The sequence below is a fragment of the Homo sapiens genome, chromosome 16, assembly GCF_000001405.40.
Source record: "Homo sapiens chromosome 16, GRCh38.p14 Primary Assembly".
In the NCBI taxonomy this organism is placed as follows: Eukaryota; Metazoa; Chordata; class Mammalia; order Primates; family Hominidae; genus Homo; species Homo sapiens.
Window position 1 is genome coordinate 24,350,797 of NC_000016.10, and position 14,840 is coordinate 24,365,636.

The 14,840-nt window shown below is 46.8% G+C and overlaps 1 protein-coding gene across 1 annotated transcript in view, besides 1 other annotated feature; it reads left to right on the forward strand.

Moving 5' to 3' along the window:
* The window catches only part of CACNG3 (calcium voltage-gated channel auxiliary subunit gamma 3), a 106,078-nt gene extending 94,462 nt beyond the window's left edge, over positions 1-11,616 (forward strand). Inside the window, exons 3-4 of the mRNA NM_006539.4 lie at positions 4,037-4,177; positions 10,556-11,616. Of these exons, the coding sequence (NP_006530.1) occupies positions 4,037-4,177; positions 10,556-11,067 (653 nt within the window). The 3' untranslated portion in view covers positions 11,068-11,616. The remainder of the gene's footprint in view (positions 1-4,036; positions 4,178-10,555) is intronic.
* Positions 6,770-7,274: an enhancer, noted in NCBI's record as "NANOG hESC enhancer chr16:24368887-24369391 (GRCh37/hg19 assembly coordinates)". NCBI's record gives its function as "activates a minimal SCP1, AML or CMV promoter by ChIP-STARR-seq in primed H9 embryonic stem cells {active_cell/tissue: H9 hESC(primed)}" and the evidence as "EXISTENCE:reporter gene assay evidence [ECO:0000049][PMID:30033119]".
* Positions 11,617-14,840: the final 3,224 nt, after the last annotated feature.

A 14,840-nucleotide genomic window follows, 5' to 3' on the forward strand; every position in this document is an offset into this window, starting at 1 on the left:
GTCCACAAGTCCCTAACAGGTGCTTGAAACCACTGGAGGAGACTTGCCCCTAATATTTGCAAGGGCCCAAGGCAAGAATCCAGCTGGAAACCCATAGGTCATATGTGTACATTTTTACAAATTATAAATAAGTTGTGCCCACAGATGGGCCCATTAAAAATAAGCTACACTCACTTACAGAACCCCAGAGCTCACTCGCTGGGATGGCCCCCTTGACTTGGGAGCTAAAGGAACCAGGGGCCAGCTCTGTCTCCTGAAAGCCTGCATAATAGAACTGCAGGACTTTGCAGCAGGCCAGAACTCAGCAACGACACTAATCATGCCTAACTAAAGTTAAGGGTTGATATAGCCAGGAAGGAAAACAGGAGGGGCAAGGAAGAGGATTTGGCCAACAGGCAGCAGGTGCATTTCATTTCATTGAAACTTACACATGTAAGTTTCTAAAGCTTCAGTTCATGGGCATCCAGCCTGTTAGAAAATTGGGCCAGTTTCAGCCAGGCATGGTGGCTCATGCCTGTAACCCCAGCACTTTTGGGAGGCCAAAGCGGGTGGATCACCTGAGGTCAGGAGTTCGAGACCAACCAGACCAATATGGTGAAACCCAGTCTCAACTAAAAATACAAAAATTAGGGTGGTATGGTGGCATGCGCCTGTAGTCCCAGCTACTCGGGAAGCTGAGACAGGAGAATTGCTTGAACTCGGGTGGTGGAGGTTGCAGTGAGCCGGATCGCACTATTGCACTCCAACCTGGGTGACAGAGCGAGACTCCATCAAAAAAGGGAAGGGAAGAGGAAGGGGAAGGGGAAGGGGAAGGGGAAGGGGAAGGAGGGGAAGGGGAAGGGGAAGGGGAGGGGGAAAGACAGACGAAAGAAAGAAAGAAAGAAAGAAGGAAAGAAAGAAAGAGAAAGAAAGAAAGAAAGGAGGGAGGGAGAGAGAGAGAAAGGAAGGAAGGAAGGAAGGAAGAGAGAGAGAGAAAGAAAGATTGGGCAGTTTCAAAACCAAAGCAAAATCCCTTCCATCTTCTCTCTCTCTCTCTTTTTTTTTTTTTTTTTTTTTGAGACAGAATCTCGCAGTGGCGCGATCTCGGCTCACTGCAAGCTCTGCCTCCTCCCGGGTTCACGCCATTCTCCTGCCTCAGCCTCCTGAGTAGCTGGGACTACAGGCGCCCACCACCACGCCCGGCTAATTTTTTGTATTTTTAGTAGAGACGGGGTTTACCGTGCTAGCCAGGATGGTCTCGATCTCCTGATCTCCTCACACCTGTGTGCCGTCAGCCCCCAACTTCAGGTCTCCCTCTTCATCCCTCCTAGGCCCACAGGTTAAATAAGTTACCAAATTTTCAGAAAACTGAAAACACAAACAAGCAAACGAATGAAAGTGCAGTACCAAATGAAAACGGCCGGAGCTAAACAGGCAGAAAAACACCTAGTGAATATGGAGGTTAAAGGCTTGAACACTGAGCAATGTGAACTAAGCTTTGAACCCCTGAGCCAAAATAAACTCGCATCCCTCCCCGGCCCCACCCCATTCCCTAGAGGCTCCTCCATTCACTCAGCACCTAAGACCAAACGCAACTCGCAGCCCACGGCCAATCCATCAGCGAATTCTGTTGGCTTTACTTTCAAAATATAAAGTACACACTGAATCTGCCAGCGTGTTACCACCTCAGGTCTACCCCCGCAGTCCAAGCTATGAAGGGCTTTTGCCTGGGTTATGGGGTTTTTTTTGTTGTTGTTGTTTGTTTGTTTGTTTGTTTGTTTGAAACAAGGTCTCACTCTATTGCCCAGGCTGGAGTGCAGTGGTACGATCTCAGCTCACTGTAGCCTCTGCCTCCTGGGCTTAAGTGATCCTCCTACCTCAGCACCCCCAAGCAGCTGAGAACACAAGCACACACCACCATGCCTGGCTAATTTTTTATTTTTTAGCAGAGATGGGGTTTTGCCATGTTGCCCAGGCTGATCTCAAATTCCTGACCTCAGGTGTTCCTCCCGCCTCAGCCTCCCAAACTGCTGGGATTACAGGCATGAGCCACTGCTCCCAGGCTTGCCTGGATTCTTGTGGTTCTACCCGTTACACGGGGCTCAGCCCTCAGAAGGGCCCCACCCTTGGTTCCATGTTCTGCTGTCACTATCTTGAAATTCTTAACAATTCTGGAACAAGAGGCCTCACTGTTTTTTGTTTTTGTTTGTTTGTTTTGAAACAGAGACTCGTTCTGTTGCCCAGGCTGGAGTGTAATGGCGCAATTTTCAACTCACTGCAACCTCCACTTCCTGAGTTCAAGCAATTCTCCTCCCTCAGCCTCTCAAGTAGCTGAGATTACAGGTGCCCTCCACCATGCCCAGCTGATTTTTGTATTTTTAGTAGAGACAGGTTTCACCATGTTGCCCAGGTTGGTCTTGAACTCCTGACCTCAGGTGATCCACCCACCTCTGCCTCCCAAAGTGTTGGGATTACAGGCTTGAGCCACCATGCCTGGCTAGGCCTCACATTTTTGTGTTGCACAAGGCCCTGTAAATTATGCCGCTGGTCCTGCCTGTCATTGCTACTAGAGTGTAAGCCCCTTGATGACAGGACCCCTGGCTCCTTGGTAAACCAATGAGCACAGAATTTATTCAGCTGATGTATTCTGGCCTGGACCCACCAGAAAATACTCTTATACTGGATGGGTAAATACTGGGACCCCAACCACATGGGGCCCCTCTCCCAGGACCTTAGGGCCTTCCATGATCCAGAAAATATTTAATAAGAAGCTGACACAGGGACCTCCAGGACTCTGCTTCGACTCCTCAGCCAGTGTCCCTTTTGAAGGGCAGTGCCTGCGCCCTTGTGGTGGTTAAACATGTCAGCTATGACTGCAGCACCCGCCACAACACCTAGCATCTATTAGGTGCTCAAGAAATATTTGTCAAATGAATAAGCAAATTCATTTGTTCATTCGTGACTAAATGGGTATTCAATGGGTGTTGTCATACTCTCTACTATGCAAATGTAGATGCGTGCAGGGAAAGATTCTGCATTTTAATGAGCAGCATGTGGTCTGATGGGAGTCCCTGTATACAGGGCTGGCTGCGTCATTTGCAGGGTCCAGTGTGAAATGAAAATCCTGGGCTCTTAGGCCGGGTGCAGTGGCTCATGCCTATAATCCCAGTACTTTGAGAGGTTGAGGCAGGAAGATTGCTTGAGGCCAGGAGTTCTAGACCAGCCTGGGTAACTTGGTGAGATCCCATCTCTACAAAAAATACAAAAATCAGCCAGGCATGGTGGCACATGCCTGTAGTTCCAGCTACTTGAGAGGCTGAGGCAGGAGGATTGCCTGAGCCTGGAAGGTGAGGCTACAGTGAGCCGTGATTGCACCACTGCACTCCAGCCAGAGTGACAGAACAAGCATCATCTCAAAAAAACCTCAAGCAAAAAACAAAACAGAACAAAAAACTTTTAATTTTTTCTGTGATCGCTCTCGATCTATCATGGTGTTTTCTATTTGCCGTTTAATATCACCCTCCTTGGGTGCAGGGACATTCTCCCAGTGAGCGCAAACCCTCCCAGGGACCTGAGGCTTGCACCCAACTCTGACTCTCCTTGTGTCCGTGCCTGGGCTCCCACCAAGGGCAAAATGGGGGCAGTAGTCGCTGGGCTGAGGAGGGAGAATGGGCGTTTGAGAGCCTTTTCCAGGGAGGCAGGGAGGTGGGAAGGTGTTGGTGATAGGTGAGGAGGTAGAGAGTGGAGTTCCACATAAGTCAAGTCTCCAAGCCCCAGTGCATGTGTCATTGTCCCATCAGACTTCACTTCACTTATAAAACACACATTCGATTATAAAATCGTTAAGACTCTCAGAATGGTGACTGCAGAGCATCAACCCCAAGTGCCAAGACTCCTTCTAAGCACAGGCCCTGAGCGCCTGGTCTCATGCCCGTGTTAGACATGGGCTCTGTTCTCTTCCTGTGCTGCCTTCCTCTCAGGCACTCCTGCGCTTGCAATGGGAGGACCCCAGGGGCTGGCTGGGCACAGGCAGAAGCCTCTCTCCTTCTCTCCGCAGGAGCTGTGAGGGCCTCCAGTGTCTTCCCCATCCTCAGTGTCACGCTGCTGTTCTTCGGCGGGCTCTGCGTGGCAGCCAGTGAGTTCCACCGCAGCAGACACAACGTCATTCTCAGCGCGGGCATCTTTTTTGTCTCTGCAGGTGAGTGTCTGGCCCCAGCCCTGAGATCTTCACAGATACCAAACTGAAGCCAGGGCCACATGGAGGAAGCAATGCTACTCAGGGCTCCCTCCAGGGAAGGAGCAAGAAAATGTTCCAGTTGTGCTAAGGATGAGAACTCCAAGAATTCCATTAGAACCAAAGATGCCAAAACTCTAGCTAAAGCCGGCATGAAGGAAAAACAGGGAGGAAACAGCATGGCACGATCAGCTGAGATTGAAAGAGAGAGAGGGAAGAAGAAAGGGGCAGGAGAGAGAAAGAGAAAAGGAGAGAGAGATTTATAAGAGTGTACATACATGCTTGCTGCTTGCATATGTGGTACGTGTGAACTGATTGACTGGGGAGGCTACAGCAGGAGGATTGTTTGAGCCCAGGAGTTCGAGACCAGCTGGGCAGCACAGTGAGACCCTCATCTCTACAAAAAACAATGTTAATTAAAAAATTAGCTGGGTGTGGTGGTGCACACCTGTGGTCCCAGCTACTCAGGAAGCTGAGGTGGGGGGATCACTTGAGCCCAGGACGTCAAGGCTGCAGTGAGCCAAGATCTTGCCACTCCACTCCAGCCTGGGTGACAAAGTGAAGTCTCATCTCTAAAAAATAAATAAGTAAATGTAAAAATATACAGCTGCATTTTTGTGTTCACTTGGGCATGTTAATATACGATCTCTGGCCCTTTGGGATTTGTATTTGACAGCTACTTATTGTTCAAGCCTCTCTTACTCACCATTTTATACCCTCCTCCACTCTTCCTATGCCAATCAATACTCTGCCATCACCCTGCAAAGTTTGAAAGTCATCACGAGAGTCCAGCCCCATCCAGCTTTTGAAGTGCTCAAATCCTCATATCATTCCAAGCATCTCTGGGAACAAGGTAAAGACCAGCAGCCCGAGATGCTCTGGGGGAAGACCTTATAGTCAATAGGAGCCCTGACCAGAAGAAGGCACAGGGTGGCAAGGATGCTGAGAGACAACTTTCAGAAAAGGGTCCTGTTAAAGGGTCCTGTTCTCTGCCTCTTTTACCTCCCTCCACCTCCATCCCTTCACTGGTGTCCTGTCTTCCTTGCTTCCCTCTGGGTTTTCATCCTTCATCCTTGCTTTCACCCCTTTACCATCTCTTCCTACCCCACTCCTCTTGGGGTGGATCAGTGCCATTTGGATGAAATGCTTTAGAGAAGCAAAGAACAGGGTAGGGATGGGGGAAGACGGGGCTGGACTCTGGTGATGACTTTCAAACTTTGCAAGGTGATGGTAGAGTACTGATTGGGATGGGGACAGCGGTGGAGAGTATAAAATGGTGAGGAAGAGTGGCTTGCAACCCCCCTGGATTTCAATCCTGGATCCACCAATCAGGCCTTGGGAAATGTGATCATCTCTTTGTAATTTGGTTTCCTTCACTATAACATGGCAAATGATAATAGTACCAACTGCAGCTGGGCTTGGTGGCTCATGCCTGTAATCCCAGCACTTTGGAAGGCCGAGGCAGAAGAATCACTTGAGCACAGGTCTTCAAGACTAGCCCTAGGCAACATTGCAAGACCCGATCTGCACAAAAGTTTAAAAATTAGCTAGGCCTGGTGGTGGGTGCCTATAGTTCCAGGTAGTCAGGAGGCTGAGGTGGGAGGATTGCTAGAGCCCGGGAGGTCAAGGCTGCAGTCAGTCATGATCACACCACTGCACTCCAGCCTGGGTGACAGAGCAAGACCCTGTCTCAAAATAGTCGTAATCATAATGATAATAGTACCAGCTGCATGGGGTTTGCTGGAAGGAGACTGTATTAGTTTGTTCTCACACTGCTAATAAAGACATACCCGAGACTCAGTAATTTATAAAGGAAAGAAGTTTAATTGACTCACAGTTCCACATGGTTGAGGAGGCCTCACAACAATGGTGGAAGGCGAAGGAGGAGCAAAGTCATGTCTTAACATGGCAGCAGGCAAGACAGCTTGTGCAAGAGAACTCCCCTTTATAAAATCATCAGATCATGCCTGTAATCCCAGCACTTTGGAAGGCTGAGGCGGGTGGATCATGAGGTCAGGAGTTTGAGACAATCCTGGCCAACGTGGTGAAACCTGTCTCTACTAAAAATACAAAAATTAGCTGGGTGTGGTGGTGCAGGCCTGTAGTCACAGTTACTTGGGAGGCTGAGGCAGGAGAATCGCTTGAACCCAGGAGGCAGAGGTTGCAGTGAGCCAAGGTCGCCCCACTGCACTCCAGCCTGGTGACTGAGTGACACTCCATCTTAAAAAAAAAAAAAAAAAAAAAGCCATCAGCTCTCATGAGACTCATTCATTACCACAAGAACAGTATGGGGAAAACTCCTGTCTTGATTCAATTATCTCCACCTGGCTCCACCCTTTACACATGGGGATTATTAAAATTCAAGGTGAGATTTGGGTGGGGACAGAGAGCCAAACCATATCAGAGACTGAACAGAGAAAGCACAATATTATTTTCTAGTATTAGAAAAACAGCAACCACACAGTTCCAAAATCTGGAGCCCCACAAGATCTTGCTCGAATTCCTTCCCCACTGCTTCGCCGGCTGTGAGATGAGAAAGGGAGACTATCTAAAGCTGAGTCTCTGAGAACCGACTCAAGCAACAGACCAGAAAGAGAACTGCCATCTTGCCCCAGGGGAGTGAGATCAGCCCACAGGTGGCGGTGGCCTCTACCTTGCTCTGTGTGGACAGATGTTAGCATCTGGCAAACCCAGGGACTTGTTTTGTCTTGAGGCACGCTCCTGTCACTGGTGGCCCCATCCAGATCTCCCGGGTGCTTGGCCGATCCAGAGGATCAGTACCAGTGTCATGCTGATGTGAGAGTTTCCTAAGAACAAGAGAAGATCATTATGTTGTCCCCCAAGGGGATTGTTAGGGAAGAGTGTGTCACCAGCAACTTTCTTCTCACAAGAGGTATTGTGAGGGATGGCAGGTAGACTAGACACGTAGGAACTAGAAAGTGTGTGAGTGTGTGGAGGAAGCCTGACGGGAAGGCAGAGGCTTGGGGTCTAATCCTAGACCCTTCCACTGATCTCCCCAAAGAACCCGAAGATCTTGTTTTTCCACCTCTAAAATGAAAGGATTGGAGGATTCACTACTCTCTAAGGCTGTTTTTTGCTCATCTACACTAAGGTTGATCATTTGAGGCAAGCAATTAACAACCCTTTAAATCGGTAAATAAGAGTGCTGGGGGGAAAAAAGAGAAAACAATTCTTAATTGAGCACCTACTACGTGTCAGATACTATGCAGAATGCCCAAGAGCGTAAGCTCTGAAGTCAGGCTGCCTGGCGCAAATGTAGCTCTACTACTTTCCTGCTGTGTGACTTTGGGCAAGTCACTTAACCTTTCTGTGCTTCCATTTATTTCTCCATCTGAAAAATGAGTATCATAACGGCCCCACCTTTTGAAGCTGTTAAGAGGATTAAATGAGTTGGTATTGATAAAGTGCCCAGAGTGGTGCCTATCATCCAGTATGTCTTCAACACATAGTAGCTGTTATCATGTACAATGTACCATTTAATTCTCATATCAACTCCACTTATTCACCCATTCAACAAATATGCACTGCCCTCTTGCTATGAATCAGACTCTGGGCTGGGAGTTACGGCCATAGCAATGAAGGAGATAAGCCTAGTCCCTGCCCTCAGGGAGTTTACAGTCTGAAAGTAGGAAAAAGCAATTGCCTACTCAGATCTTGTTTTCCCTAAGCCTTGTTACTGAAATCTAAATCCACCATGGCTAAGAGCTCTGGATTCAAATCTCACTTCAACCATTTTCTATTAGGTTGATGCAAAAATAATTGTGGTTTTTGCAATTAGTTTTAATTTAATGGCTGTGCTCGACATGGGAAGTTACTTACCTTCTCTGTGTCTGTTTCCCCATCTGTAAAAGAGAAATCATTTTTTAAGTGGGCCTGCTGCAATGATTACTAGGTATGATGCATATAAAGATTTTGCACAGTGTGTGGCACATGGTAAGCGCCCTGTAAATAATTGGCAATTCGCTTGGCTTCCTATCAGTTTAATCTGACATCTGAGCCTCTCTTTGAACTTCTTTCTTTCCTTCCCCACTCCCCGCCACCCACCGTGCTGCCCCCAGAAAGACCTTCTTTGGGGACTTTCCAAATTTTGCCATCAAAACATTCCTCATGGCAGAGGAGAGAAAAAACATGGCCCGGGGGAGTCAGGGGGCATCAATAGAAGCCACCTTCATTGAGCTGAGACGTCTTTGAAGTCTGACTCCCATTTAACTTAAAAATTCATGTGAAGTCTGCCTTCTCCTCCTTGTTATATCCATGTTCATTTTAATATAAAAGAATATGTCTTCCCTACTCATCTTCAAGCCAAATTGACACTCCAGGAAGAGGAGCTGTTTGTCACCCTGTGGTTTCTTGCAGGCTGACACAGAGCTGGATGTGTCAAACCCCATAATAAGAAATAGCTCAGTGATGAGAACTTGCTGCCTACCTGCTGAATGTCTGTGCTGGGTACAGCCAAGAGGAGGCAGGAGAGAAGCAGCAAATTTTAGCCCTGTACTCTGGAGAAAAATTTGAGATGAAATATAATGAGAAGTCCTATTCAAAATATTGAGGCTGGGCATGATGGCTCATGTCTGTAATCCCAACATTTTGAGAGGCCAGGGTGGGAGGATCACTTGAGGCCAGGAGTTCAAAACCAGACTGGGCAACATAGCAAGACCCCATTTCTAAAAAAAAAAAATTAACTTAGCTGTGCTTGGTAGCACATACCTGTAGTCCCAGCTATTCAGGAGGCTGAGGAGGGAAGATGCCTTTAGCCCAGGAGGTTGAGGTTACAATGAGCTATAATTGTTCCACTGCACTCCAGCCTGGGTAAGAGAGCAAGATCCTATCTCTAAAAACAAAACAAAACAAAACAAACAACAACTAATAATCCTAATGCATGTGCACCAGCTAAGCAGAAGGGTGGCACTGGAGCACAGTCCTGTGTCTCCTGCTCTACCAAGCTTTAACCCTTTGGTTGCTGGACTGTAGGGAGATCTTGGGGATGCCCACAAAGAGTACGGAACATTCAAGGAATGGAGAGAGAATTCAGGAGGCTCCTGGAAATGGTTACTCACCAACTGTTGTCGGAAACTATAATGAGGGACAACCTCCATTTAGCACCACCCTACAGGTAGCCTAAATTTGGAGGCAAAGAGATGCCAGCTGGTGTACCAACAACCTCCATGAGTCATTGTTGGCACCATGACCTGGATGAGGCCCTTGAAACAAAGGGACAAAAAAAAAGACATATCCCCTTCGGAGTAAGAACATGAGAAAGGTAGGCAGAGATGTGCACAGCCCTCCAAACCTCCTGCTCCTACTGACCACTACCTAGGAAACTGATTCCTCTCCAGTGGGCTAAGCAGCTATTTCCAACAATATTGGCACTTTGGGAAGCTAAGTCTGCAAGCCTCGCCCGTTGGAGGTAACAGCTTCCTGCTCCCCAAGTCCTGGTGCCCTGGTGCTCAAACAACAGCTGATCTGAAGCATTATCATATCCTGTGCAGATGAAAAGACTTGGTAAGCTCTCACCTCTTCCCCATGGGTTTATTTATTGTCCCAAATTGTAGCTCCAGACCCATACATTTCCACTGAGCAGCTCCATTTGGATTTTCCATAAGCACTTCCAACTTAATGTGTTCAAACCTCCTCTTTTATCTAAACCTGGATTCTCTGCTGCCTCTTATTTGAGCTCAAAATGCCACCAGCTTCCCAAGCATCCAAGTTAGAACCCTAGTAAGTCATTCTCAATGCCTTCTCTCACATGCCATCGTCAACAGTCTTTCATCTCCTGGCTCACCCCTATTTGATTTGCAGGATCCGGCTCAAATGTCACCTCATCTTCAGTGCCAGGTTCTTAGTCTTTCTCTCTCCTTCTCCTCCTGAACCATTTTTATGTGTCTCCTTAGCACCCTTACTGTATTTTCCTGTAATTGCATTTACATGTCAGTCTTTGCTACTAATGGTAAAGAATTCAAGGGCAGAGGCGTGTATCTTGTTCATTTTACAATCTTCATGACTTAGTGCCAAAGATTAAGTGTTGATGAGATGAATTGCTTCTAAGGGAAAAATAAGTGCATTCTGAGTTCTTCCGTACTTGCTGTAGGAGTAGGGTGTATTCTTCAGCTGAATACACATTGCCTGGAACTGAGCAGCAGAATTCTTCATTTCCTAAGTGACAGACCATGCAAGAAGAACTAGGTGGTTGGATTTCCCAGCTATAATCCATTCTCCTCTCTCCCCATTACCTCCACATTTTCTATAAATATTTTAAGATGGAAAGTGACAGTTCTCTCCGAGGTGTATAAAGGACGTGTTTTTCTTTTCCCCTTCTCTTAGGGTTAAGCAACATCATTGGCATCATAGTTTATATATCAGCCAACGCCGGAGACCCCGGGCAGCGTGACTCCAAAAAAAGTTACTCCTATGGTTGGTCCTTTTATTTCGGAGCCTTCTCTTTCATCATCGCAGAAATTGTAGGAGTGGTTGCCGTGCACATCTATATTGAAAAACATCAGCAGTTACGAGCCAAATCCCACTCGGAGTTCCTGAAGAAATCTACTTTTGCCCGCCTCCCACCCTACAGGTATCGATTCCGGAGGCGGTCAAGTTCTCGCTCCACCGAGCCCAGATCCCGAGACCTGTCCCCCATCAGCAAAGGCTTCCACACCATCCCTTCCACTGACATCTCGATGTTCACCCTCTCCCGGGACCCCTCAAAGATCACCATGGGGACCCTCCTCAACTCCGACCGGGACCACGCTTTTCTACAGTTCCACAATTCCACACCCAAAGAGTTCAAAGAGTCACTGCATAATAATCCGGCCAACAGGCGCACCACGCCCGTCTGAACTGACCTCTGACCTCTGCCCCACGCCCAGCACAGCCTTGGGGGAAGTGTACAGAGATGTCTCTGAGGTTGCATGGCATGGTCCTTGTGATGGTATTACTTTTTACAAAGAATGAAACCAAATGGACTCAGCCCTCTCCCACATTTTCCCCTCACCCTCCAAGTCCTAACCCCTCCATCCTCTCTAACTTTTCAAGCCAATCCCTTAATGTCATTCCTCTCTCTGTGTATCTGTGCCAGATGTTTTCCTTTCTTCCTTCTTTACTGGAAGGACCTCCACATTCTTCCCTCCTTGGAAGAGGACTTTACTAAAAGTCACAGGTGGTGGCCAGGGGGGATTTCCGAATCTCCATCAGGCGCGCTCATAGTTGTCCCCATTGTCTACCCACACAAATCCTCAGGAAACCAACCACCGCCCAGGTGGCCCTGAGGGAGGCATTCACCTTTATGTGTTAGAAAAACATGACCAGAAATCAAAGATGTCAGAGCCCCGAAGCAGCTAATGTAATAAGCACTCATGTTATTAAAGGTTTTGCCTTGTCGTAACCAACCGAGCCGGGGGTGTTTTGTTTCTTGTGGGTGTTTCCTACACAAACTCACTCCCCTGCCTCCAAACTGGCTCATGTCCATCTTGGAAGCTGAACTTTGCTCATCCACACTTGAGCCACTAGGAAGGATCTCCCTGCACCTTTGGAAGCTAGTAAGGCATTCCCACAAATGTCCAAATCAATGCATCCTTCTACTTGAATTCCTGGAGGCTACCTGGGGGTGGGTGAGTGAATGCTGGTTTTCAAGATCTAACTTTGGCATGCAATAGCTCTAGAACCTTGGGCAAGTCACCTAAGCCTCAAGCCTCAGTCTCCTCATCTGTAAAATGGAACATGATAATAGCACTCTCCTCCACAGAGTTATGAGGTTTAAATAAAACTGTGTGTAAAATGATTAGCACATTGTAAACAATTGATATATATTTTTCAATGTTTCAGGTGGATTTTAGGCAGAGTAAGCATTATGTTGATCTGCTTTTGCTGTGACAACAAAATATCAAAATGGGCCAGGAGAGGCGGCATGAGCTTGTAGTCCCAGCTCATGGAACTACAGACTTGGAGGCTGAAGCGGGAGGATCACTTGAGCCCAGGAGTTAAAGAGTTCAAGTCTAGCTGAGACCCCAGCTCTTAAAAATAAAAAAATCAAAGACTGGTTAAACAACAGACATTTATTTCTCAAAGTTCTGGAGGCTAAGGAGTCTAAGATTAAAATGTCAGTAATTCAGTTTCTGCTCAGGGCTCCTCTTCCTGACTTGTAAACAGCAGCCTTCTTGTTGTGTTCTCACATGATAGAAAGAAAGTAATCTCTTTCTCTCTCTCTCTCTCTCAATTTCTCTTTTCATAAAGCCACAGATCCCACAGTGAGGGTCCCACCGGTCCCACCCCCATGATCTCATCTAACCCTAATTATCTCTCAAAGATCCTATCTCCAAATATCATCACACTGGGGATTAGGGATTCAACATATGCATTTTGGGGGAATGGGAAGGTGGATGGAGACACAGTTCAGTCCACAGCAAGGGTTACTTTAGCAAGATAAAAGCCAAATGGAAGTTACTTTATATAAGGGAGAGAGAGAGAGTATACTTTGCACAGGCTCTGAGGGCTCTGGGAAGAGAGAATGGAAGGATTTGAATATTTTAAATATTTGATGTTGGAAAGCATGAGAAATATGTTGGCCAGGCATGGTGGCTGACTTCTGTAATCCCAACACTTTGGGAGGCCAATGTAGTTTGAGACAAATGTAGTTTGAGACCAGCCTGGGCAACACAATGAAACCCTGGCTCTACAAAAAAATACAAAAATTAGGTGAGCATGGTGGCACATGCCTGTAGTCCCAGCTACTTGAGAGGCTGAGATGGGAGGATCACCTGAACTCAGGGAGGTGGAGGCTGCAGTGAGCCGTGATCATGCCACTGCACTCCAACCTGGGTGACAGAGTGAGACCCTGTCTGAAAAAAGAAAAGAAAAAAGTATGAGAAATATGTCACCTATGCCCACAGTGACTTCCTTGAGCATTTTTGGCACACACCCAGGTCTTCGCACTTCTGAGGAGCCTTCCCACTTAGGGCCGCAGCATGCTAGGAGGCAGGGTTGCAGGCTTGAGAGCTCACACTTAGCTGATACTGTGGGTACCAGGCTGTGTTCTGCTGCCATACACACACAAAATCATTTCATCCTTCCAGTAATCCCATGAAGAAAATACCTCCCAAAATCTCCACTTTACCAATGAGGAAACTGAGGAAAGAGAAGTACCATGACTTGCCCAAATTGTATTCCCACTATGGGACAGAAGTACTGGGAAACTAGTACCTTGCCCACACTCACACAGTAAATTTCATTGTAAAGTGCACCTAGGGACAATTCATTTTGTTCAACACTTGAGTCATTGCATGCAAATGACACGCACATACATTAAATTATCTCATTTAGTCCTCCAAAGAACCACGTGTAGTAGGAATTATCATCTCCATTTTGGCAGGTAAGGAAATAGAGGCTCAAAGAAAGTAAGCGTCTTGGGTGCTAATGAGCAGAGCGACATTTGTATCTAAGCCTCTGCTTCCTACGTTGCGTGGCTTCCCCAGTATTCCAGCATTTTCCAAGCTCAGTCATTTGAGCGCCACTCCTAGGAAGTTTTTTATAGCCACATCCCACATCAACAACTATTTACCTAATGTCTTTCTTCAAGCCTACTTGCTTTTAATCCTTTAATAAATATATTTCGAAAAGGAATTTTATAACACTACTATAAAGAGAAAACTGAAATTCCTTGCCATAATCAAATGGTAACTGGGAAAATAAATACAATACAAACGAAAACAATCATGCTATACTTTAGCTGTTGCTAGCTTAGCTCACTGCAACCTCCACCTCCCTGAGTTCAGCTGAAGGCCGGCTGCCGGCTGCCTGTTCTTTGTGAAAAGGATATAACCGAAGTGTTAGAGAGGTGTTAAAGGATATTCTGGCACCAAAAGAAGATGCTTCCCTTGGTTTACTCAGAAGGAGCAAAGGAGAAGTCAAAAGGGAATACCCTTCTCACTGTGTGATTTGACGCTCTGTGATACTGCGGCCATGCACCATATCAAATCATCTACTCTTTTTATTATGGAAGTTTACAGAGCACTTTATTTTTTTAATTTTTTTTTTAAAGATGAAGGATGAGGTAGATTTTATTTTGAAGCATGTGAAAAATATTTGGGAATGGTAACTCAGGTAATTTTTTTTTATTATTATTTTACTTTAAGTTCTGGATACAAGGGCAGAACTTGTAGGTTTGTTACCTAGGTATACATGTTGCATGGTGGTTTGCTGCACCTAGCAACCCGTCATCTAGGTTTTAAGCCCTGAATGCATTAACTATTTGAAACTGTGGAATGCTTCACGAATTTGCATGTCATCTTTGCTCAGGGGCCATGCATCTCCTCCTACTCTTGGGGACAAGTGGTCCAGCCACCCTTGGAGAGGGAAGGATCTGAGAACTGGAGCAAATATGTGAAGAACACTGTGAAGGGGAAGCAGCAGCATCCAGGCACCCTGGGAACTGGGAGTGTGCAAAAACAGGGCATCGGGGAAGTGGATCTGGGATGGAGAGAAAGGCCCCAGCGCCTTAACTAGCGGGGTATCAGCCCTGGTAGTCAAGAATAAAGTCCTTCTGCAAAGGCCAGAGTGCTAGAGGAGAGAAATGGCCACGTGACCCCCGGAAGGACTCCCTCTGTACCCCACATGC